The sequence below is a fragment of the Homo sapiens genome, chromosome 16 (assembly GCF_000001405.40).
Source record: "Homo sapiens chromosome 16, GRCh38.p14 Primary Assembly".
In the NCBI taxonomy this organism is placed as follows: Eukaryota; Metazoa; Chordata; class Mammalia; order Primates; family Hominidae; genus Homo; species Homo sapiens.
This window is the reverse complement of record NC_000016.10, coordinates 78,739,000-78,766,050: the sequence shown is the minus strand read 5'-3', so window position 1 is coordinate 78,766,050 and position 27,051 is coordinate 78,739,000. Positions and strand designations below refer to the sequence as shown.

Below are 27,051 nucleotides of genomic sequence, written 5' to 3'. Positions count from 1 at the left end.
TCTGTGTGCCTGGGCTCTGTAAACCTTTTCTGTGCAGACTTGGGTCTCTCCAGCTGTATTTCCTGGATCTAGTCATACTTTTGTTATACTTTCAAGCCACTGGGATCCCTGATCACCCCTCACTCCTCACACCAATGGGCATGGAAGCCACGTAAATTTCTGCCTCCGCAATGCCTGTGCCACCCACTCTGTCCTCTCTGTTCCCTTAGGCTCCACCATCCCAGGGCAGGACAGAAATAGTGCGATGAGTTCTCTGACAGAGGTTGTGATTTTTGCCTCTGTTTTCTCTCCATGCCAGTCCCTCCTCGGCACAACTGCCAGAGTGAACTCATTAAAGCTCACCTTTGCTGTGATCCAACTCTTCTTTTTTTTTAGACAGAGTCTCACTCTGTTTCCCAAGCTGCAGTGCAGTGGCACAATCTCGGCTCACTGCAACGTCTGCCTCCCGGGTTCAAGCAATTCTCCCACCTCAGCCTCCCGAGTAGCCAGGATTACAGGCGCCCGCTATCACACCTGGCTAATTTTTGTACTTTTAGTAGAGATGGGGTTTCACCATGTTGGCCAGGCTGGTCTCGAACTCCTGACCTCAGGTGGTCCACCCGCCTCAGCCTCCCAAAGTGCTGGGATTATAAGTATGAGCCACCGTGCCCGGCCCCGAATCTTACGTGGAAATTTCAGGGCCTCTCACCTGCTTCCTGAAGTCAGAGCAAAGCCCTCACCCTAGTGTTCAACGCCTCTACCAGAAGGTCTCATCACTGTCCCTAAGCCCATCCTCTACTGGGCTCTTCTCATTCCTGACACTTCCTGGACTTTCTGCCTTTGCTCGTGCTGGATCCTCTGCCAGGGATGCCTTTGTTGTCACATATCCCACCCCAATCCCCACACTGTGGGGCCACTGTGATCTGCAGCATCCTTCAAGGACCATCACCCTACCACATCCCCGCACAGCCGCCACCCATCCTCTCCAGGCACTCATTTCGAGATGCTGAGACTTCCCTTCCACTGTCCTGTTGGGCAGGGATCTGGGTTCTTGTCCTGTTCCTTCCTGCATCCCTCAACCATATCTTAAGTTTTCTGAAAGCTCAAAAAATATTGTAAGCAGATGTGTATGCCCTAAAGGCACAATGCAGATAATTCAACACTTGCGTTTTTAAAAGTTATTTTAAAAAAGAACAAGTGTTATATCCATAGTAAACTCAACAAACCTTTGCTATGAGCAACAATATCAAATGAGATCAGACCTAGGTAAGTTGTTTACCGTGTTCAAGACACTGTGCTAGAAACTTTGCAAGCAGTACCTCATTGAATCCTCACAGCCTTAGGAAGGAGGTACTAGAATTGCACCCATTTTGCAGATGAGGAAACTGAGGCTTAGACTGCCACTTGTCTTGGTTATCAAAGGTAATGTTGGAAAGCCAGGAATCAAACCATAGCAGCATGGCTTCCAAACCCACCCGGGGCACGGCACATGTGAGCGAGTAACAGATGAAGGCCAAAGGAGAAATGTCAACACAAGAGGCAGAAAGCAGAGAACACAGGTTCTAGACAAACAGGTAACTGGTTTGGATGAAAACAGTCTTAATTTTACAAACCCACTCCCAGAAGAAGCACCTCCCTACCATACCAATTTCCCTTCCAACAAGAGGACAGAATGCCTCCAAGTGGGCCTGGAGGAGGAGGCGGCCTCCTGTGTCAAGCTCACAGGGAATTAGGACTTGCCAGGTTCTGCAATGCTGACCAAAAGGCCATACTCACTGGACTGGGTGGCAGCTCCTCCCCACGGAGAAATTCTGGCAGGAAGGCGGAGCCGTTTAACAACACCCGGCCGCACTTCAAAACAGGGTAGAGCCGGAAGACTGAGAACAATATGGCACCCTGTAACCTGCTGAGTACAGGAGAAACACAGTGACTTTTCGGCAAAAGTGGTGACACGATTTTTATCCTGGAGCACCAGCTGATCCTACTCACATCAACCCTTCTGGATCTCTCTGAGCAAATATTTCACATATCCTACGCAGCTGGTGCCACTCCAAGCATGATCTGGGCAGAGGCCCAACATGTATCCCAGCCCACAATAGATGTGGGGCAGAGGGAGAGTGGGGCTTCTTCAGCTCAAGAGTGCTAAAGGAAATAGAAGAGGGTTTTGGGGCATTGGGGTGTACACAATTGCATACAGACTCCCCAAAAACTCTGCAGGGCAATTAGAAAGAGGAGAGCCAGCTCTACTATGCTGACAATTATGCTTCGGCTAGGTCTTAACTGAATGCTGGAGAAATTAAGTCAACATGAGATGGGTGAAAAGAAGAATCAAAAGGAATTGAGACAAAACTCGTGAATACCAAATAACAACTTCGTGGAACAAGTATTTAATGAGTACCTAATATGTTCAGGGCACTGTACTAGGTGCTGGGCATACAGTGGTGACCAGGACAGATTTTGTTTCAATGACAGCAACTCGGCAGTGAAAAATACCTTAAGAATCAAAGAACCTGAGTTTGAGAGATTTGGAACAGAGTTTCATACTCTATGTAAAAAATTGCATTCATGTTTCTCTCCCCCAAAAAGTGCCTCTATCCCAAAGAGCCAATGTCTTTTTGGACTATAAACTACTTGAGGTCAGAAGATGTGACCAGGCCACTGCCTGGTAGATAGCAGGTATTCAATGAGTTCTGGATGAACAGAAACAAGTAAATGCTGTAATAAACATGTGAGGGTCGAAGAAGAAATCACATGGGAAATTGGAACATATTTTGAATTAATGAGAATGAAAATACAACATACCAAAATTTGCAGGATGCAGGTAAAGCAGTACTTAGAAGGAAAAGTATCGCTTTGTAATAAACACAGATCAAGCCATACGCCAACTGCTTGAACAATGGTTTTCTGGCCCTTGACTGTAACGCTTTCAGTACTTCAGCTCCCTATCTCCACAGCCTACAATAGTGCTTTGGCACAGAGTAGGTGCTCAGGAAAAATCTGCTTTATTGCAATATGAATGTTCTAGTGTAAGTCCCAGAGTCGTACTCAGTTACCCCTCTGCATATGGAGATCTATTGCTCATCTGGTCCCCCCACCAGGAAAATCTTCCCCAGCCTTTTGTTGTGATTGTTGTTTGTCGTTCTGTTCTCAGCCTTCAATAATAACACTTACCAAACTGGGTGTTAACTACCATGAGTCCTTCAAAGTAGCGTTGCATTTAATATGCCTTAACAAGTAGGTGCTTTTATGATTCCCCATATTACAGATACAGATACTGAGGCCAGAGAGGTTAAGTAACTTGCCCCACAATACACAGCTGGGATGTAGTAGAATTTGGACTTGAAACCAGACAGTGCAAATTCAGAGCTGCTGTTCTCAGCCACAGTGGATTCCTGCCTCCCAATTAGCTTAGGAGTAAGCTCCAACGGGCAGTCTCCCTGGGAAGCACCCCTCCTCTGTGCCCCGAGCCCCCTGTGCCCACTGTTAGTACTGTGTCACCTCGACTCATGGCAGCAGTGTGCTGCCCTATGCTCTGAATTTTGCATTACAGGGGCTGGGTCGTATTGTCTTTGCAGCCTCACCACAGGCTGAGCACATAAGGAAGGCTCACTTAATGTCTATTCGACTCAGTGGGAAGTGGGGGCGGTGAGCAGTTCCCCTTCTAAAGTACACACGAGTCACCAAGAGACTCTGGTTAAAATTCAGACTCAGCAGGCCTGGGGTCAGTCAGGCCTGAGATTCTGTACCTCCAGCAAGCTCTCAGCAGATGCTGAAGCTGCTGGTTCATGGACCAAGCTTTGAGTACCAAGAGGGTGGATGAAAGGGCACAGTCTTAAGACACAGCTGCTGTATGCTCTTGGCTGAGGAAATTCCTGGGTCTGTGATTTTGGTCAAATCAATTCACCACTTTTGACCTTGGTTTCCTAATCTATAAAATGGAAATGATTAGCCATACCTTACAGGATTACTGTGGGCAGTTACATCAGAGAACTTCAGTGAAAAGGCCAGCACAGAGTTGACACCAAATAGGAGTAATATTTCTTCAATCTAAGAAATTCTCATGATATTTACTTGTTGATTCATCCTCACTGCACAGTTTCTCAAACATTTCCTAGGTGGTCTTTGTCTTATGTATATAATTGATCCCCTCACACACTCACACACACAAGGAGATAAAGCACTAATGAACTAAGTTAGCACTAATGAACTAGTTAGTTTTAAGTTAGTCTATGTCGGGTCAGCTTTACTGCATGATTTCTCTCCTAAGTGTGTTGACAATTATCTTTCTCCTCACACCAAGGGGTTAATACCTAAATCCAAAAAAGAATGTGGGATTTCAAAGAGGACCTTGTAGTGCCACAAAGGAGAGCTTCAAAGCCAAGGAGGTATTAAGTGTTTCTTGTCAGACTCAACCGGGTGGCCCAGATGTCACAAAGAACCCAAACATGTCAGACGCCCCCACAAACCAATCTCCTCTAGACCAGCGAGAGTCCTGAGGTCAAGAGCTGTGAGCCCACCACAAACCACAGGGAAACTATCAGGGTAGATGAGCAGAGAAAGAAAAGCAGCAGACCAACCACTACAGATTTCAGCCAACACAAATTTCTCCCCGGTGACAATGGTGAGTTTGATGGTCTGGGAACCGAGAGGGCACTAAACAGGTAAACAAAACTAAATTAAAATGTAAATGCTAAAGAGTTCTCCCTGAAAACTCATCATGTCTTTTAAATTTGTGAGTAAATGGGCCAGGAAAATCCAAACAGATTGATAAAGACAAGCAGATCCGACTTCTTGGAGGCCGTGCTTTCTGAACTCTTTTGCTTATGGTCTACTACAAACCTAGTCCAGAAAAGATGAGGCCATTAACTATATTTGGAAGAAAAAGAAAATGCAATAGTTCTTATAAGAACACAACAAGAAACAGCCCCCGCTCAGTCATTAGCCTGTAATATGGTTTGGCTCTGTCCCCACCCAAATCGCATCTTGAATTGTAGCTCCCATAATTCTTACGTGTTGTAGGAGGGGCCTGGTAGGAGATAACTGAATCATGGGGGAGGGTCTTTCCTGTGCTATGCTCATGATAGTGAATAAGTCTCATGAGATCTGATGGTATTATAAAGCGGAGTTTCCCTGCACAAGCTCTCTTCTGTTCTCTGCCACCACGTGAGATGCGCCTTTCCCCTTCCATTATGATTGTGAGGCCTCCCCAGACATGGGGAAATGTGAGTTCATTAAACCTCTTTCTTTTGTAAATTGCACAGTCTTGGGTATGTCTTTATCAGCAGAGTGAAAACAGACTAATGCAGCCTGTAATGCTCTCCAGGCATGAGAGGTATTCTGCCTCAAAGAGTCTCATGTCCCACAGCAGCTTTGCTCCCGGAAATCAGCAGCTTGAGACAAGCCGTCTGATGCTGACTGTAGGACTTGGCTGTGAGCTCCAAAGACAAGGGCAAGTACCTGTTCTTGGAGGGGAGACACAGACACAAAACCCCAAGTGCATTGTGGGCATCCTCTCCTGACTGTGTGATTGGGAATAAGCTTAGGTTTGAGGAGTGTGTTGGGCTGAGTAATGTTTCTTGCTGAAGGTGTCTAAGTCCTAATCCCACCTGTGAGTATGCTACCTTGCATGATAAAATCAAATGCAAGTGTGATTAAGTTAAGGACCTTGATATGGGGAACTATCCTGTGATATGGTTTGGCTGTGTCCCCATCCAAATCTCATATTGAATTGTAGCTCCCATAATTCCCACATGTTGTGGGAGGGACCCTGGTGGGAGATAATTGAATCACAGGATCGATTTCTCCCATATTGTTCTCATGGTAGTGAATAAGTCTCATGAGATCTAATGTTTTTATAACGGGAAACTCCTTCACCTGGCTGTCACTCTCTCTCGTCTGCTGCCGTGTGAGATGTGCCTTTTGCCTTCCGCCATGACTGTGCACCCACCCTAGCCACATGGAACTGTGAGTCCATCAAATCTCTTTTTGTTGATAAATTACCCAGTTTTGGGTATGTCTTTATCACTAGTGTGAACACAGACAAATACATCCTGGATGAGCCTGGTGGGCCTAATGCAATTAAAAGGGTCATTGTAAGAGGGAAGCAAGAAGGTCAGAGTCACAGAAAAAAGAAGGGATAGTGAAAGCAGAGATTAGAGTGCTGTGGCCGTGAGCTGAAAAATGCCAGCAGCCTCTAGAGACTGGAAGATGAAAGGAATGGACTCTCCCCTAAGGCCTGCCAACATTTTGATTTTCACTCCATAAAACTCACTCTGGAGCGAAACCTTCAGAACTGTAAGATAAGACATTTGTGCTGTCTTAAGCCTCTGCATTTGTGCTAACTTTTTACAGCAGCCATAGGAAACTACAACAGGGAGCATACAGTCTCATGTTCAAATTCCAGCCCTGCTTCTTCCAAATGGATGATTGTAGGCATGCAGTTTAACATCCCTGTGTTGCCATTTCTCATCCACAGATTGAGAATTCTTTAGAGGGTTAGTTTAAAGGATTCAATGAGTACCTAGGTTTGTGCCCGAGATATGGGCAGGCTCACCCACTGCTCCTTGATGACACTGTATGTCAAGAGGCTTCAAGGGCAAACACCACCAAAATCCTCACTGGCTTATTTTAACTCAACAGGCTCTCACTGCTTCAGCAGCAGTGAGAGAAGAAAAAGCAGAGAGAGGGTAGAATAGAAAAAGAAACAGAAGAATATTTTCTGTGCCTTGCCTGGCTCTTTATGGCAGACAGTGCACACTTACGAATTCATTTCTCACCAAGCATGGCATCCTGTTATTTCCCTGCCATGCCCACCTTCAAAACATCTTGGCATTCACCTGAAATGGGTTCCCAGTTGATTACCCTGTTCTAACACTTCTCCGTGTAATCTTCCCATAGTCACCACTAAGCACCACATATAACTTCACTGAAAAAATTGCACAGATCAGCCAGGAATCCCTAACTGGCACCCATATACAACTTGTACTACCTTAAATCAAAAGTGGGAATATATTGACCCACAAAAATAGAAAGGGAAGTTCCAGGTTCCTGCTAGACATCAGGAGCTTCGAATTAAACACACCTAAAATATGCCCTGGGTTTTGTCTGTGAAGGTTTTTTGTTTTTTTTTTTTTTGTCTTTTGTGGTTTTTTTTAATGCAAAATATAAAATGCTGGCTTGGGAAGAAGATTCTCTTCCAAATCTTGAACACAAAATCTTCAAATGGTTAGTGATACAAATATGGCAACTGAGATACATCCTCCTTATAGCAAATGCTAATGTCTTGTATACATCATTGCCCTTAACCTTCTCACCACCCCAGTGAGTATAAATTTTTAACTCCATTTATCAATGGGCTCAGAGAGGTCAATCAATAACACACAGGGAGGAAAGGGGACACGATTGGAACCAAAGCCAGAGCTCTTAACCTCCATGCTGTAGAACGGGAAGGACAAGCTAAAAAGAAACCATCCACGGTTGATAGTTTCTGCCATGCAGAGGTAGCACTTGGAATTGTGTTGAAAAGTATAGATAGTGGCGTTACGACACTGGCATTACAAAGGGAAACACACTTGGGGGAAGCCTGCTTCCAATCTGTGGTAATAAACATGCCTAACCAATTTATGGATGATTAAGGTGGCTCCTGGACCCTGCATTAAATAATTTTGGTGACATAGTTATTATTCCCTTTGTCTTGCCCAATTAATCTACTTGCAAAAGATCTTGCTTTGGTTTTTAATACCTCTCTACAAGTGGCTCATCTTCCATTTGCCCAAAGAGAACACAAGCATTGGGCTTAGAGTATTCTCTGGTAATAATAGCTACATGGAATTACTATAGTTCTATTTTCTTTGTATATAGGTTTATCTTCATCTATATGTGGCAAATCATATTGATCTTCCCTTTACGATGGAAATAGAACATTTCCTTTTAAAACAAAGTTAATGAATCTATGAATTGATTTAAAGAAAAATTTCAACATTAATTAGATCTTCAATATTTTAAATATTAATAATAATAGGGGCACATTGTGAAGGTGGGGAAAGATTGACAGAAGTTTGAAAAAGAGCATCCTGGCTGATCTGATAGAAGGTCAGTGTTGTGGAATCAATGTGTCCCCCCAAACTCATATTTGGAAACCCTAATCTCCAAGGTGATATTATTAGGAGGGGGAGCCTTTAGGAGGTACTTCAGTCATGAGAGTGGAACCCTCATGAATGAGACTGGTGGACTTGTCAGAAGAGGCTGAAGAAAGATGATCTCTTCCTCTGTCATGTAAGGACATAGCAGGAAGGTCGCTATCTGTCAATCAGAAAGATTATTTATAGGAAAATTTATTTACTTATATAAATAAATAAAAATGGATTTATTTATATAAATAAAATGTGTTTATGTGAATAAATATAATGTATTTATATAAATAAATAAAATGTATTCATTCATATAAATAAATACAAATGTTTTTACATACGTCTTTCAAAATACACCACCTGCTTTAATACGGCACTTATAGAAGAGTTAACTGGGTTAAATGGTGAAACCCCAACTACCTGTAAAATTTAGCTGTCTCAACAAGCTCATGCAGCCAGGGTCCTAGATGGTATTTGTCAGGCAAACACATCACACCACTAACTGATGAGGCAAGAGGTACAGAAGCAACAGACAGTGTCCTATGTACCTTTGCAAAAGCGCAGCTCCCTCTAAATGGTGGTCATGCTGGGGTGCTGGGGTGCTGGGGTGCTGGGGTAGGTGGTAAGAAAGTAACAATTAACTGGTTTTCTTACCTAATGCTGAACAGTTAATGGTTTAGACTCTTTGAATGGGCAGTTATCCACTGTTGTATAACAAATTATCCCAAAACTAAGTGGGCTGAAACAATAATTAACTTTTATTATCTCGCACAAGAATTTCTGTGGTGCAGAAACTTGTGAGCAGCTTAGCTCGGTGGTTCTAGATAGGGGCTCAAATAAAGTTCCAGTCAAGATTGCAGCAAAGGCTGCAATCACCTCAAGGCTTAACTAGGGCTGCAGAATCAACTTCGAACGTGGTTCACTCACATGGCTGTTGGCAGGAGGCTCAGTTCTTCTACACGGGTATGCTTGAGTATCCTCCCAACATGGCAGCTGGCTTTTCCTAGAGTGAATGATCCACATCAGTAAGGCAGAAGCCTCAATATTTTTATGGTCTAGCCTCGTAAGTCACATGCTCTGATGTCTGCAATACCCTATCGATTATACAGGTCAGTAGTATTAGGTGTCCGAGAAGACTATGCTGAGACATGGCTACCAAGAACTGAGAATCACCAGAGGCCACATTCCCCAACTTAGGTTTGATTCTTTGTCCACCACCTTAAAATTAGATATGGTAGTTGCTTAATGGTAGTTTAACGGAAGAATGAATGAACAAACAGGGTGAAACAAAGGAGTGTAAAAATGCTAGAATTTACCCAATCAGTACACAGCGTCAGTAACCAATGAAACTCTCATAGGAATATCAATAAAGCATTCTCAGAACACTAAAAATAATTCCTTCTTCCAACTTTTCTCGTGTTTTTCAGTGTGTTCTGGCTAAAGTCCATCTCCTCATGGTCTAAGGTAAACTATTGCCTAATCAATCTTTTTCTGGAATCCCAGACTGAGGGAGCTTCAGAGCTTCCTGAATAATGTTTAAGAGTCCTCTGGAGTTCTGTCCTATCTCAACCGCCTTCACCCTGGCTCCCAAAGCTGCTCATTTTATTGATTTTTTTTTGTTTGTTTCAAATACACATTAGATAAACCCAGTTTTGACAGTGAACAAAACTGTCTGCCAACATGACATCTACTTCTGCCACTTTAAGCAACAGGGCCAGCTGGAAAGGGAGAAAAAGCGTATGTGTCAAAGATCCCTATTAGCCAGAGGCAGTACATACTAGAAATTCAAGTCTCTAGGATCCCCGTTCGTGTTTTATATACTCTCTCCTCCCCTTTCCATCATTCTTCCCTTTTTCAAATAAAAGACTGAAGATGGGGTGAATTCTGAGCCTTCTCATGCCTCAGAGTTCATACATGAGGCCTTGTCTCCAAGAGACTTGGTCATACAAGCAAAAAGCCATCATTTCTTACAGGCCTCTGATTTGCCAGAAAACTGTCTCCTTGGCATATGTTCTTCTCATCATAGCGTCCTGACAAAAATCCTATGAAGTTACAGTAATTCTTGATATGACTGGTGCATAGAGGAGGAGAAAAATCTGGGGTGGTTACTTGTAGACCCAAAGCTATTAAATGGCGAAAGTGAGAGTGGAACCAGGTATGTTTTTGTAATTATCCCCATGCCCCTTTTCAGGAATAATATTCGGCATATTTAATAGCGGGTACTGAACTATCAAAATGGGTATTTGTCACATGGCCCTGGTGCAGGGTCCTGAGGCTTCCTCTCCCCAACCAAGGCAGGTGATGTTCCTCCAGGTGACAAATCACACAGGAATCCCAGTGGGTGTGTGGCACTGAGAGGCTTCGGGCAGGGCTATTTACTAAATAATGTAGAATTATTTGATATTACAACACCAGGATACAGCCACTCTGGCAGGTACTGACTCAAGAACATCTTTGTTCCTCCCTCATCATCATGCAGCCTTAAATTAATCAGTATCACAAGACCCCATCATCCCAACATGTAATATCATGGTCCAGGGGAATAGCAACAAGGCCTGCTTTACCTGGACCAGGAGTCCTGGGCTACCCACTGCATTTTCTATATTGCCTTCTCGAAATGTACAAGACATTCTCCAATTCCTGGAATTAAATCCTTCAAGGAAGAGAGTCTCTTTTTTCCGGTGTTTTCTTTTTCTTTTTTTTTTTTTGATGAAACTTTTTTTTTTCCTTTCACTTTAAGTTCTGGGATACATGTGCAGAACATGCAGCCTTGTTACATAGGTGTACATGTGCCATGGTGGTTTGCTGCACCTATCAACCCGTCATCTAGGTTTTAAGCCCCGCATGCATTAGATATGTGTCCTAATGCTCTCCCTCCCCTTTCCCCCTACCCCCAGACAGGCCCCGGTGTGTGATGTTCCCCCCTCCCGTTGTCCACGTGTTCTCATTGTTCAACTCCTGTGTATTCTTTTAATAGTATAAATGGCTGGCTCTTTGTGGACAGCATTCTCTTCCCTGGGGACAGCAGTACCACCCCTGCAGATAATGGACAGTGCAGGACACAGCACAGACTGTGAGTAAGTTATCACCCACCAGCTGAGGTAGTACAGCTCCCAGGCCCAACCGTGCAGATCTATAAGTAGAGGCCTTAGAGGTCATCTCATTCACACTGTCAAACTCAGCAACTCTGGTGATGGAGAAGAAATCTTTTTTTCTTATTTCAAGAAAACCAAATAAATGCACTGCATAACCAAAGCCATGCCTTTATTTGTGTCAAGGCTGTACTTGCTAATTAAAATGCCCAGTTTCCATGCTTTTTTTATATAATTAAAACATCCAAAGACTGCAACTGGTTGATAAATGAGAAAATGAATTTTTATTTAATAAATACCATTTATTTGGAGAGAAAAACAAAAACAAAAAACCTTAAGAGCAGGAAATCCAGGAAGGTGAGGAAAAGAAAGCGGTAGGTACTAAGAGAACATTGGCTTTCAAATCCGGTGCCAAACTCTTCAAAACCCTGATCTACAAATTCATAATGACCTAGTCATTCATTCATTCACCAGTTCAATAATAAGACACAGGTACATACTAACTTGCACACTGACCTTAGGCTGTCTGAAATCAGCCTGAATGCCTTCTTCCTGAAACTCACTGATTGCTCATCAGTGGCCCTTAAGGAAGAAGGAAGCAAGAATCTCAGGAAGAGAAGTGAGGCATCCTAAAGTCCATCCTCACCGAGTGAAGACAGAGAAGATGGCATCCCCAGGGACCAAGTTCTCTAGAGAAAGAGCTGCCACAGAGCAAAAGAGAAATGCCTGGCGGAATCCATTTATAATCACAATCTAATAATACTTAGCAATGCCCAATGGGATAAGCCTAAAGAAAATTATGAGAGTAATTACAAGAGTTCACATTAATGATAATTTAATAATCATTCTCTTTGGCATATCTCTTTTCTTGAGATGGATAAATTGGATTGTGTTAGACAGAATTCCCCTGTTTCTGCCACTTAAAAGTCATGTGACCTTGGAATAGCCTCTTCAATTCTATGCTTCCTTAAATTTATATATACATATACATATACATATATATATATATATATATATATATATATTTTTTTTTTTTTTTTTTTTTTTTTGATATAGGGTCTTGCCCTGTCACCCAGGCTTGACTGCAGTGGTGTGATCTTTGCTCACTACAGCCTTGACTTCCCAGGCTCAAGCAATCCTCCCACCTCAGCCTCCTGAGTACCTGGGACTACAGGTACATACCACAATGCCCAGCTAATTTCTGTTTATGTTTTGTAGAGATGGGATTTCATGATGTTAGCCAGGCTGGTCGCAAACTCCTGGGCTCAAGCAAACTACCTGCCTTGGCCTCCCAATGTGATGGGATTACAGGCATGAGCCACTGCACCTGGGCAAGTTTTATTTAAGAAGGCTATAATGCACTAAAACTCTGCAGTAATATTTGCTGCAACAAAGAAAACTGAGAAGTATCTTAAGACACAGGGGTGACTGGTCCTCCCAACCCCAATACTCTTCTTACTCATTGTCTTTGTACCTGGATAATGAAATGAGAGTTGCCTAAGAGGTTCTTTCTTTCTTTTTTCTTTTTTTTTGAGACGGAGTCTCACTCTGTCGCTCAGGCTGGAGTCTGTCGCCCAGGCTGGAGGGTAGTGGTGTAATCTCGGCTCACTGCAAGCTCCGCCTCCCGGATTCACACCATTATCCTGTCTCAGCCTCCAGAGTAGCTGGGATTACAGGCGCCTGCCCCCACGCCCGGCTAATTTTGTTTTTGTATTATTAGTAGAGACGGGGTTTCACCATGTTAGCCAGGATGGTCTCCATCTCCTGACCTCAGGTGATCCACCCGCCTCGGCCTCCCAAAGTGCTGGGATTATAGGCGTGAGCTACCGTGCCCAGCCCTAAGAGATTACTGAAATCACTGCCTCTATCCTGGAAGAACCAGGCAGACAAACGGCCTAGAATTATCCCCACTGATATTTAAGCTGGAGTGTGCCGTTGCTGCTGGTGGCACCCAGCCAAGATGGGACCAGGACAGATTTAGATCAGGAAGCCTGACTCCTGGAATTCCTGGCCAGCTAGGTAAGGCGGCTCGCCAGGCCATTTAAGTAATTATGTGATTAAATTTATTGGAGACTACTTATTACATAAAGTTGTGGTGAAGATTAAAGAAGACAGGGCATATAAACTCATTAGCACAAAGCAGGGCTCCATAAATGCTAAACCACTCTCAGGGGAAAACAGAAGACAAATGTTTATCTTAAAGAATTTTATCATGATTTGAAAGTGAGTTTAAAAATCTGCTGAACCTGTTAGCTAAATCATATTAGAAAGAATATTCTTGGCCAGGCATGGTGGCTCACACCTGTAATCTCAGCACTTTGGGAAGCCTGAGGTCAGGAGTTAGAAACTAGCCTGGCCAACAGGGCGAAATCCCGTGTCTACTAAAAATACAAAAATTAGCCAGGTGTGGTGGTGTGTGCCTGTAATCCCAGCTACTCAGAAGGCTGAGGCAGAAGAATCGCTTGAACCCAGGAGGCAGAGGTTGCAGTAAGCTGAGATCGCATCACTGTACTCTAGCCTGGGCAACAGAGTGTGAGACTCCGTCAAAAACAAAAAGGAAAGAAAGAATATCTTTGTTTTAACCTGATAGTCTCTAACACTGACAGACAAAATATTAAAGAACATTTACCAATATTTCAAGTCACTCAACTACTTAAAGGTATATTTTCAGTACGCATCGAAGTGAATCACTCAAAAGCAGACATTGTACAAGAGATACTCTTTTATGGATTGAGACAACTGACTGATTATTTAAAACAAAGACAAAGTTTTACCAATGTTAGAATTTATGTTCACTTCTGTGAGTGAATTTTGTGTCGTCTCTCTCCTCATCCTCCTCCTTATTTAAAGAAAAATGCCAATTCTCTTTAGAAGTATTGTGGCAGCCCACTTCCACGTGGAGGCACCAGAAGAAAGACACAGTTGGGTTATTCATTTTCATCTGGGTGACCACTCTGCCTCCAGTCTTACTCTAAAATGGGAATTAATTTCTTTCTTACCTTCCCTCCCTCCTTCCTTTCTTTTTCTAGAAAATCCTTTCTCTTCCTTTTCTCTCTCTCTCTTTCCCTCCCTCCCTCCTTCTTCCCTTCCTCCTTCCTTCCTTCCTTTCCTTCTTTCATCACAACATGTCTACGTGTTGGTAAGGAACTGAACCTACGTATTTTTTAACTCTGCAGAAATGGCTTTCTTGGAGTATTGTTTAATATCAAACTCTATTTTTGTATCTACATAAATATAAGGCATGCATGACTGATGGAAGAATGTTTTGTTATTTTTAGTAAACTGTTTTAAAATGCTGTATCACCTTGTCTTTTTATATGAGTTTTGGGTCTTTACATGTATATTTATATACAAACATATGCATATATATATATATATATATATATATAAAATCTGATAAATATATATATAATCTGATAAATATATATATATATAATCTGATAAATTCTTACAGTTATGTTGCAGGACAGAGGTGTGTTACTATACACCTCTGTTTCTTTTTTTTGGTTGAAAACTCTTTGCTTTTGACTCCCAGGAAACCCAGCTAAATTTAATGCTAGATGTCAGAAATAATTCATAAAGTTTCCAGGTATATTTATCTCATATCTTCTTCTAACTAATTTCTGATATGTAGTTCGAAACACAAATTAAATACATCTGTCTTTTATATGTAGTGTACTATTCCCTTTTGAGTCAAATTCTTTTTGGAAGTAGGAATGGTTTCAACTGTTTGAAACAGCACTCTTCTCTTTTCTCTGCAACCTTGTCCCTATGAAAAATAAATTGGAGATTTCTCAAAGGTCTAAAAATAGAATTACCATTTGACCTAGCAATCTTATTAGTGGGTATACATTCAAAGGAAAATAAATCACTCTACTAAAAAGACACCTGCACTCACGTTCTTGGCAGCACTACCCACAACAGCAAAGACATGGAATCATCCTAAGTGCCCATCAATGGTGGATTAGTTAAAGAAAATGTGGTACGTATACACCACGAAATACTACACAGCCATAAAAAAGAAGAAAATCATGTTCTTTGCAGCAACGTGGATACAGCTTGAAGCCATTATCCTGAGCGAATAAATGCAGAAACAGAAAACCAAATACCGCATGTTCTTACTTACAAGTCGAAGCTCAACACTGCGTACACATGGGCATGAAGACAGGAACAATAGACTCTGGGGACTTCAAAAGGGGGGACTAGGGAGGGAAGGAGAAAAGGATTGAAAAACTACCTATTGAGTACTATGTTTACTAATTTGGGTGATGGGTTCAATTGAAGCCCAAATCTCAGTATCTTGCAAGATATCCATGTAACAGACCTACACATGTACCCCCCGAAACTGAAACAAAAAATAAAAAATAAAATAAAATAAATCCCAGTTTACTTACACATGATAAATAAATGAAACAGCACTGTTCTTTCTTTACTTTTTCTAAGCCAACTCACACTTCCTGATCCTAATGGAAATCCTTTCGGGTTCACAACTAGGAGTCCTGGTCCCATTCTTACAGACCACAGGAGGGGCAAGACAGCTATGAAATTTTGTGCCTCTCATTTCTGTCCTGCAGAGAAACTGAGCCTCTGAATAGGAGTTCAGTGGAGATCACCCACCAGCTGACCTGGGCAGTGGGTTTTTCTTCCTGTTTTTGAATAAGGCAGCAGCTGAACTGTACAAACACCTCTACTTTCACCGAGGTGTTGCTCACTATTTTATTTTCATTTCTCTTCTTCCTTGTTTTTAAGGTGTGAAAAAGACTTTCAGCAATGCCTTCCATATGCTGTCTTATTTTATTTCTCCTATTTTTCCCTGATAGAGTCTATCTACTACTGAACGACAAGAAGGGATTGTTGGGGGGAGCTGAGAGTCACTCTGCCAAAAAGCATCTGACTTGTAAACAGTGCAAGACTTTTAAAAGTCTACTCTCTGACCTTCTATTTTGAGGACCCTCAAAGTGAAGAAAGTCAAACTTGGTATTAAATAACCACCCAGGATGTGGTTGTCAGCTTGAGGTGTTAAGAGGAACAGTTTATAAAAAGCCTGGTTAAATATAGGAAGTACAGTTGCATTTCAGGTAACTCGAGATTTGAACATCCAATACGGCTTTAACGGAGGCAATCTATTTGGCCCATTTTCACAGATATATATTAAATGACACCTATTTTGAGGTCTATAATTTTTCCTCCTTAGCTAGACCAGAAAACACTTCCTCCACCCTAATTCATGCTTCCTTATCCTCCAAATGTATATCCTCCACTTTTTTTCCCCACTGAAATAAATACATCCTTAAACTACTTTGCATAGCCCTAGGGTAAAACAACAATTGTAACAACAACAAAACATTAAATGCTTCATTATGATTTAATATTCTATCACCAGAACCCAAAACCTCAGTTTGACTATTTTGGGTCTCTCTCTTTCTCTCTTTTAAACTATTATTAAAATGGTAATTTTAATGCAAAAGGCTGTATTCAATTTTAAAACATTGTTTTGTTTTGAATTTCAGCTGTCTTGAAAGTCCATTTTTTTCCCCTTTCCTCTCTGTAGGGAAGAGGATTGAACTTCTCTCGAGCTCTGTTTCCTCATTTGTAAAATGCAGGATCTACCTATGATGTAGGTGGTTAAACAGTAGTCTGTGTGTGATGCATGGCACACAGGTCACCCCATGGCAGTGCATGTTTTATCTGCGTACCCATGCAGACAGCCCTTGGTCATGGAGGACTATGCCACCATAGCCTCGGTCCACCAACCCCTAAGCACTAAAACACATCCAGACCATGTGATCAGCAATTGATAATTTTAGAATACACTTGGCTAATTTCTCTGATCCCACTGCTACAAATAAACCTTGCAGTCGTTGATTTGGTCAGGTTCAAATTTCACCACGGCCCTACGGGCATAAAGATGAATTATTTGATTGCAAGGAGAAATAAGAGACCATGTGTCAGGCTGCTTTGCAAATCAATTCACCTCCCCTGCAAAGATGCTCCTTCCTACTTAAGATATATGGCTTTACAAGGATTTGGGCAGCATCTGTGTTTGCCGTGTCAGAGGGCAAGACGCATGCAGATGTAATATCACCGAGCAGTGTAATCCGAGTGTGCATGAAAAATAACTGCAGAGGGAATGAGGGAACCCTTTGCCACGGGCCCTGACAGCACCTCAAATAAGCACTTTACCTAATCTCCCTTGTTGATTCCTATCTGGGCCCAGTGACTTCATGCAGCTGCCATCTGCTAACCAGTTAGGGCATGTTGATCACGGACGTATTGTAATCAGAGCTGAGGTCTCCAATGGTAAAGCAGGCTTGCTGCCAAGATGGGGCAAGACCCTAATAAGAATGGCAGAAAGGAGCCGAAAGGTGAACTTTACAGCCAGCATGCCTGGATTAAGCTTCTATTTTATTTAACTCTGTATCCCCAGGGCTTGGCGTGGAAAAATGCCCAGTAAATACTGCAGATAGAAATGAGTGAAAGACTTTCCATAAAAAGTGAAGCACTTCCACCACTGGGTAACAGTAATTATTTGCATAGAGTCTTTTGAGCTATTTTATAGTAGATTAAAATGTTTATTTGTGGTGAGCTATCTGTGGTAGACAAGGTTCATTCATTCATTCATCAGATATGTATTGAGTGGACACTGCCCTAGCTTTGGTGCCTGTTCACCTTTGTAGCTCAGGAATTCGGCAATGACACGGGGTGCAATGGATAAATGCGAGATAGAGGAGTGGAGGGTCCGGTCTGGGAGAGAAAGAGCAGAGTCTGTGAAAAAACTAACAGACAGGGGACACTTCTGCAGATCCCAAGTGCTCTGGCCAAGTTCAATACTCTTCGGCGCAGATGGACTTGGAGTTTCTTAGGCTGCTACGCAAGAGGACCACTAAGAAGCATGGTTATTTCGGCTGCAGGATGCTGAGTCTAAGAAAAACTCAGGCATCCAAGAGCATGCCCCTCCACTGACAGGTGGAAAAACTGAGGCAGAGAGAAAGATTATAGTTTATCCTTGATCATGGAGCAGCTTGGAGACAGAGGTAGGACTAAACTCTGGTATGTTGAGCAATCCATGCTCTGCCAAGCTGCAGCATCTCCTCTGTAGGCTGGATAAGCTCATGGGCTGACGCTCTAGGGAAGAAGAGGCAGACAGTAATCGAGGAAACAATTGTATACATATTCAGAAAGTGGTAAGTGCTCAAAAGAAAAGAAACAGAGTGGGTGAGGAGAGGCAGGGTTTGAATTCGACTCCACCATTTGCTAGCTAAGTAACTCAGCTTGCCAAGGCTCTCTTAGCCTCAGTTTCCTCATCTGAACATTACGAAGGCTCATTGTAATGCCTGTCTCCTAGGGTTGTTGGGAGATGCTAAGAACGCTGGCACATAATGAGCACTTCATAAATGATGGGTATTTTTATTTTATTATTGTTACTTAAGTAGGATGGTCAGGGTAGGCCTCTGAGAAAGTGATATTTAAACTGTGTTAGAAAGATAAGAAATTAGACAGGTGTGGTCGCAGATGCCTGTACTCTCAGCAATTTGGGAGGCTGAGGCTAGAGAATTGCTTGAACCCGGGAGGCAGAGGTTGCAATGAGCCGAGATCGTGCTACTGCACTCCAGCCTGCATGACAAGAGCGAGACTCCATCTCAAAAAAAAAAAAAAAAAATGGGCAAGAAAGTGCCCCCCACCACTCTTCCCAGGCAAAAGAAACAACATGTACAAAAGCCTTGAAGCAGATATAGGCTCTGTGGGTCCCAGGAAAAGAAAGAAGACTAGAGTGGTTGCAGGATATTGGGAGGACATTGGGCACAGCTACTTGAGGTAGGAAATAAACTGAGAGGCAGGCAGGAGTTCAGGTCTTCAGGACATGTAGACCCTGGAAAAGAGCGTGTATTTTTATTCTAAATGGTATAGGAAGCCACTAGGGATGGGGAGTGGTGTATTCATCAGCTACTGCCAAAATACTGCCGCATAACAAACAACCTCAAAATTTCAAGGGTTCACAAGATCAAATATTTATTTTCCTCACTCACTAGTCTAAGAATTGGTTGAGGTTGGCCTGATATTGACTGGGTTTGCTGAAAATGGCTCCAGGGTATAAGTCAGATTCAGGTCTGTTTCATCTATCTCATTCTGCAGCCCAAGCTGAAGAAAAGGCATTGGCTATGGGAAAAATGCAGGAGTACAAAGCCAATCATGCAAGCACATCTCAAGACTCTGCTCACATCATGTTGACTAATATCCCATGAAAAAAAAAAATTACAAGGCCAAGAGCCAAAAATCCAGGAGCAAGAAAGTTCATTTCACTGCTCATGAGGCCATGGCAAGGGTGCTGATATCTAGTATTACTACAATGCACTTTAGCAGGCCTAAAGTCCTGGAGTGTACTGGAGTGTAGTGGCATGATCATGGCTCACTGCAGCCTTAAACTCCTGGGCTCAGTTGATCCTCCTGCCTCAGCCTCCCAAGTAGCTGAGACTACAGGCATGCACCATCATTCCCAGCTAATTTTTAAATTTTTTGTACAGGCAATGTCTTGCTATATTGCCAAGGCTGGTCTTGAACACCTGGCCTCAAGCAATCCTCCTGCCTTGGCCTCCCAATGCACTAGAATTACAGGTGTGAGCCACCATGCTCAGTCCTGTTGTACTTTAGACCCAACTACGTCAGCTTTCTGCTGACCCTGCTTTGACAAATGCCCAAACCACCCATGGTTCATCATATCAAAACGATGTCCTTGGACAAATCACATGCTGGTTTGCACCATCTTAGCTCTGGCTTTCCTGAGCATTTTGGCTTCTTAGAGTAGCCCCCCTCCACCTCTCCTTGTGGATGGATACAGATTATGGCCCTTCCCAGTAGCCTTCTGAGACGTGGTGCAGGGTTCCAGTTCATAGCAGCTGGAGTCAGGGCTGGAAGGAGCAGCGGGAGTGTTTTCCTTGGCAGGTTTCTGGCATGCACACGTTCCTAGTATTAAAATACAATGTGCTTTTTCCAAACTAGATGATCTACACCAACCATTTTATCTGTAAACTAGCCCTCTACCCACCCACCCTCAACTCTGGTCTTGGAACTATTTGAAGGGGGGGGAAAAAGAGGAGGAAGAGGGAGGAGGAGAAGGAGGAGGAAAAGAAGAAATCTATGAGGGGGTGTGGCAGTGAGGGGGTGGATGTCTATGAAAATTTATGTGCTGAAAAACAGCTGTAAAATGTTTAATGTTTCAATGAACGTTTTATGTTTACCATAAAAAATCCTCCAGCCAAGAAGGGCTTTAAAATGTTACATTTCCAAACAGATCCACAGAAAGAAGCAAAAAAAAAAAAAAAAAAAAAAAGGATTTCCACAAACCCCTCTCTATGGAGTGACCCCCAAACGCTAAACATTAAAATAGGGTCCTTCTGACCTAGGTCAATGTTGAGGGAGAAAAGAATAACAGGCATGACACAGGGAGAGGCCGGCAAGAAGAATGAAAAATATGCTCATGTTTTTCAAAGCTAAGTACTCATGGCAGAAAGCCTTGGAAATTCAGGCTTTTGAAGGCAGAGGTGGAGGAAGGCGGGGAAGATGCCCAGCTCAGCCAAAAGCTTGCTGAAAGATTCAAATGTAATCAATCAGTCCACCAACAGGAAGAACTAATCAAGTGCCTTAATACTGAGTTCTTCCAGGAAAGATCCTGGCTGAAGGGACACTGGCTTTCACAGACAGAGGCATGTTCATATTCAAACTCCACTCTAAACTAGTCTTGGCTCCTATAGTCAGTTTTTTTTACCTCTTGAGATCTCCATTTCTTCATCAATAAAATGCAGTGGCAGGCGTCACTGGCCAACACTGAATAAATGGTATGTGCTGGGAAGCAGGGACTGGGGAAGCCAGGAGTCATGATGAAGTCAGCTTAGCGCAGCCTGAATCAGGTAGGGAAATTAAGACCTGACATAGGAGGAAACAGAAAACGTTGAAGCTTGGAGGAAAACTAGAGTGTTGCTCTTCTTTGCTTACCCAATGACTTTAGTGAAGTCACCATGTGGGTCTTCAGGCCAACCAACCAGTTTTACTTTTTAATCTCCCTTGTAATTAATATTTTCCACACTGTTTTCGGGTAATAGAAATGCAGTGCAGGCTGGTAATAGAAATACACAGTGGCTCACGCCTGTAATCCCAGCACTTTGGGAGGCCGAGGCAGGTGGATCACTTAAGGTCAAGAATTCAAGACTAGCCTGGCCAACATGGTGAAACCTCATCTCTACTAAAAATACAAAAATTAGCCAGGTGTGGTGGCAGGTGCCTGTAATCCCAGCTACTCGGGAGGCTGAGGCAAGAAAATTGCTTGAACCCAGGAGGCAGATGTTGCAATGAGCCAAGACTGTGCCACTGCACTCCAGCCTGGGTGAGAGACAGATACTCCGTTTCAAAAAAAAAAAAAAAAAAAAAAAAAAAGCAGTGTGGACCATGGGCCCTTCCTAATCTGGCCCCTTCAAGCGTCTTCTGCATATAATGATCATGCAGTCACTATAAAAAAGCAAACAAATAAAAATGAAACGTCACATGTACCTTCTGAGACACACCTTGCAGTTATAGCCTATGTGTTTCTAAAGTCCTGTGCCTTCAGCTTACTATATCCTTCCTTAAGCCCTGTCTTTTCACAAACTCTTACCCAGCTCTCAAAACTTAGTTCAAATACCACCTTTACGGACCTTCTGATCTGTATCAAATGCCTGTTTACTGTGTTCTCAGAGCACACGCTGCTGTGGTGTACCCCAATACTCTTCATACCACATCCAGACATTCATTATGTTACTGGAGGAGGGCGTCCAGGTTCTTGGCGTTTTGAATAAAGAATTGGACAAAACGCATAAACAAAGCAAGGAAAGAATGAAACAACAAAAGTAGAGATTTACTGAAAAGGAAAGTACACTCCAAACGGTGGGAGCAGCCCAAGCATAGAGGCTCAAGAGCCTGGTTAAAGAATTTTCTGGGGTTTAAATACCCTATAGAGGTCTCCCATTGGCCACTTGGTGTACACCTCATGGAAATGAAGTAATGGCCCACAATCAGTCAGATTGGTTGTGGAAAGAAGTTACACTCCTATGCAAATGTCTGATAGGTTGTGAAAAGCAACCAATCAGAGGGTGAAGCGAAGTTACAAAGTTACAGCTCCTATGCAAACGGCTGAATGGTCGTGGAAAGCAACCAATCAGGGGTACTTTCAATTTTCCATCTGCAACTCAGAAAAGTGGGGAGGGGTTGCAGAGGGAGTAGCCTCTGGTCCTTTTATAACTTAGTTGTGGAAAGTTGGTGTTTTCCTTTTGATTTAATTATACAAAGTCAACGTGAATCAGCCTTAGATTCCCTGCCTCCAGATCCTGTTCTCCTGCCTCACTTACTTTTCTAATTTCTTCTCTAAATGATGCTTCTTGAGGGTAGACACCGAATCCTCATCATCTCAGGACACAGTACAAAATACAGCATGAAGCAGATCCCTGGGAAGATTCTGTTTGAGAATCAATGAGTTAAGAAACAAATGACAGCAAACACAGTCTTCTTTCTAGATTGGCAAATGAGGGAATACTGGTCTCTGAGGGATACACAGGGCCAATCTCCTCACTGTCACCTTGCACTCAGAGAGATAAGATGGCTTTTGCTCTCCAGTGCAGAAAGAGTGGCCTCCTCTGCCAGCATGAACCTTGCCTGGGAACTGATATCAATAACGGCTGCAGCACACAGAGAAAGACACTCAAGTGTCTCCTCCAAGGAGAGAGACGGATGTTTCCTTCGGGGGCTGATCGGGTTCACTTCCTGTTCATGAGCACGGCAGACACCTAACCTCCCGGCTGCAGTAAGGGTTGGGACTGTATGTGGGGAGTTGGGGTACTGTGCTTGGGAGACATTAACGAGGCCCCTCTTACTCTTCCACAAGCCAGGGCCTTCTCCTTCCTCTTTTTGGGAGGCCCAGGAAGTGGCCCTTTCCTTGACCAGACCCTACACTGGGAAGCCCCCGGCTCTGACCATGAGACTCGCAATGGCTGTTCACTGGACAATTTCAAGTGAATTCCCGCAAAGTTTCCCAAGAACATCAGATACAAAAGAGTTGATGGATGGAAACTCACACGATAAACCAAAGTGAAAACAAAACTGTGTCGCCCAACCCCATGTGAACTGAAACCGCAGGGCAGAACGCTCTGACTCCGCAGACATAAACAGTTTTAGCCCCGAGTGAGTCACCAGCGCAGCCAGGGCAAAGCTGGAGAGAGATTTCTCGTGATGCGCTGGGGATCGCTGTGCGTTCCTTTCCCTAGAAACTGATTTGTCATTTGAGTCAGAGGAAAGAACATTTCTAGGGCACCTAGTACATACCAGAGGCTCTGGTCCACGCTGTAGATAAATACTTCCAACCTGTTTTCACAGTAACCTGCATAGGTGCTGACTATTATCTCCATTTGCACATGAAGACACAGAAGCCAGGGCGCTGAAACACTTAACCTGAGCCAGAGCTAGAAGTGGGGCTCTGTCCTGCTGCTGCCCTTCACCAGAGGACACCCTGAAGCCCTGATGGGTCACATGAGTCTGCGTTTTCCCTGTCCTGAGTGGTCTCCAAACTGCCTTGATCATGGACTATTATCAGTAAAAATAAGTTTTGAGCACACTCACCCCTAGTATTTGTACACTGATTTATCGACAAACGATGTACAATCTACATGTAATATTACAAAACATTGCAAGGAAAAGACATTTAAATGGGTTGAGATAAAAGATAAAGGTAAATAGGGGCTACTATGTTTTCTATCCATATCCTAGTGCTGAGGTCACAGGGTTGCCAGGTTGAAACTATACATAGACATCGTAGGGGGTGGGAAGAGAGGATAGGAGGCAGGTAAGGAGGGAGAGAGACAGAGATAATGTCCAGTTAAATGTGGAACATCCTTTTGCTAAAAAATTATCCATTGTTTATCTAAAATTAAAATTTACTTTAACATCTTACTTTATGTTGTATGTATGTATTTATTTGAGACAGCGTCTCACTCTGCCGCCCAGGCTGGAGTGTAGTGGCACAGTCTCAACTCACTGCAACCTCCGTCTCCTGGATTCAAGCAATTCTCCTGCCTCAGCCTCCTGAGTAGCTGAGACTACAGAGCACCCGCCCCATGCCCCACTGATTTCTGTATTTTTAGTATAGACAGGGTTTTGCCATGTTGGCCAGCCTGGTCTTGAACTCCTGACCTCAAGTGATCCACCCACCTCAGCCTCCCAAAGTGCTGGGATTACAGGCATGAGCCACTGTGCCCAGCCAGATATTTTGTTTTTGAGACACAGTCTCACTCTGTCGCCCAGGCTGGGGTGCAGTGGTGATCTTGGGTCACTTCAACCTCTGCCTCCCAGGTTCAAGTGATTCTCCTGCCTCAGCCTCCCGAGTAACTGTAATTACAGACATGCGCCACCACGCCAGCTATTTTTTGTATTATTAGTAGAGATGGGATCTCACCAGGTTGGCCCGGCTGATCTCGATCTCCTGACCTCAAGTAATCTGCCCACCTTGGCCTCCCAAAATGCTGGGATTACAGGCGTGAGCCACCGCGCCTGACCAGCATCCTGCAATTTTATTTGCTAAACATGGCAATGCTAAGGAGTCAGTAAATGCTTTCTGTTACAGGATTATAATAAAGATTCTAGGCTTTGTGGGATAAATGGTCTCTGTCACAACTACTCACTCTCCTACTGCAGTGTGAAGTGGCGCTAGGCAGTTCCTAACCTAACAGGCATGACTGTGTTTCAGTAAAAATTTATTGATAAAAACGAGTGGCTGGCTGGACAGGGACTTTGCTGGCCACTGCCCCAGTGGATCATCGTGGTGTATCCCACTTAGGAGACCCATGGCCTGTAAGAGAAGGGCTTGTATTTGCACAGTTCTCCAACAATGTGACATAGTGAAAAAATAAACTCTTATTTTTTCTGTGAGGGTTTCTGGTGGGGGCTGGTGAGTAGACAAAGGATGATAATGGCAACTCTTTTTATCATAGGAGTTATAAGAGGAGCAAAAGCATCTCTAAGACACGCTCATGCACACACGTACACACACAGAGTGCTGCAACCAAGATATCCACCAGGGTGGACCTGCATTTGGTGTGTCAAATTGAATGCTTCCCTTGCCCCAATTACTAGCGCTTCAATCGGCCAACTGGCAGCCATAACAACACATTAACCTTTTTGCCAAATCAATTTCACCAAGTCCCCTTCCAGCACTAGGAGAAATGAAACGGCGCCCCATGCCTGAAAGACGAGTGCTCTCTGCACACCACACACTGTGGAATCCCCCTCTACACGTGGAACTCTGAATTCTAGCTCCTAAACAGGGATCTTCTCATGGTCAGAGGGCAACGGAAATCAGTTTTCCAAGGCTGCCTTCCCTCCCTTCCGCAGCCAGCCGGGGTCCAAAGGTCCAAGCCAAAGGACGCTGCCAACCCTATTAGCAGAGCCATCTTCACAAATCACGTCAGCATTTACTGTGCTTCAAGAGAGGCTGCTTGATTTAACTCTCAGGAGCCCCCCGACGGGTAATTTCACTTAGAAGCACAGAGGACAGTGCAGGCAGCCGTCTGAGTCGCATCAGCATTGTAAGAACGCCTGAAGACTCCAGCCTTCCTGAGTCCCATTTCTTCAACTTCAGGCTGATGGTGCTGGAGCTCACTCTCTAAGAAATGGAGTTTTCAGGAGATGCAATTATTTTCAAACTCAGCAGTGCTACATGGCATGGGGCGAATGCAGAGAAGGGACCAAAGCAGGGCAGGTGGCAAAGGTGACCACAGTGGGGTCAGTTAGGTGGTCAAATGTGGTGACAGCAGGAGGCACACCACAGGGCTCGACTCCTGAGGCAATGTCTCCACCGGTGAGATAATTTAGAGAGAGTAAGTTGACTGAGTTCAATGTGTATATGCATCCTAGCAATAATAAATGCACAATTCTCTGACCCAGATTATTCAAAAACATATTTCCTGCTTCTTCTTCCATAATAAGGAATATCTGGGGTTTTTGTTTGTTTGTTTGTTTGTTTTTTGAGATGGAATCTCTCCCTGTTGCCCAGGCTGGAGTGCAATGGTACGATCTCGGCTCACTGCAACCTCCGCCTCCTGGGTTCAAGCGATTCTCCTGCCTCAGCCTCTGCAGTAGCTGGGATTACAGGCATGCACCAGGAAGCCAAGCTAATTTTTGTGTTTTCAGTAGAGACGAGGTTTATCCGTGTTAGCCAGGCTGGTCTTGAACTCCTAACCTCAGGTGATTTATCTGCCTCAGCCTCCCAAAGTGCTGGATTACAGGCGTGAGCCACCATGCCCAGCCAAGGAATTTCTTTACACTCAGCCCAGCCCTCTTCTTACCGACCTGTTGTCACCCAACCCAATTCCACAACCCTTTCCTAGAGCTTGGAGGAACCGAAGATGTGTAGTGTGCCTTCTGAAAGCACATGACATCCAATCACTGTTGGGTGCCTCCAAAATTGTTGGCTAAACATGATCCTAATGCCCTCTGCTGCGAGTGTTGGGAACGTCTGGGCACCAAAACCCAGTATGACCATCTTGCTTTGACCAAGCTGAACAAGCACCCTTCCATGAACCACAAACAACATGGCCTCCAGGATCACACTTTCATTCGGCAAACACAATTTTAGCCGGGTACTTAAGAATCCAGGGGAAAAGTCATGGTCCTAGCTCTGGGAACTCAGAAGTCACTCAGAGGTTACCACTGGCCTGCTGCAAGCTTCCTGTGACTTTGCAGCTATGGGGCACAGTGAGGAACCCTCTATTCCTTTATTCTGGTGGCAGAGGAAGTCTATCCAACCAGGAAACCATGGCTTCTAGTTGTTGAATTCT

The 27,051-nt window shown here is 43.6% G+C and overlaps 1 protein-coding gene across 2 annotated transcripts in view, besides 2 other annotated features; it reads right to left on the bottom strand.

The window, feature by feature from the left end:
• WWOX (WW domain containing oxidoreductase) overlaps positions 1-27,051 on the bottom strand; it is a 1,113,014-nt gene that overhangs the window by 446,617 nt on the left and 639,346 nt on the right. The window lies entirely within an intron of this gene.
• Positions 4,569-4,638: a silencer, noted in NCBI's record as "silent region_7736". NCBI's record gives its function as "represses an Ori minimal core promoter by ATAC-STARR-seq in GM12878 lymphoblastoid cells {active_cell/tissue: GM12878}" and the evidence as "EXISTENCE:reporter gene assay evidence [ECO:0000049][PMID:35858748]".
• Positions 23,026-23,285: an enhancer, noted in NCBI's record as "active region_11155". NCBI's record gives its function as "activates an Ori minimal core promoter by ATAC-STARR-seq in GM12878 lymphoblastoid cells {active_cell/tissue: GM12878}" and the evidence as "EXISTENCE:reporter gene assay evidence [ECO:0000049][PMID:35858748]".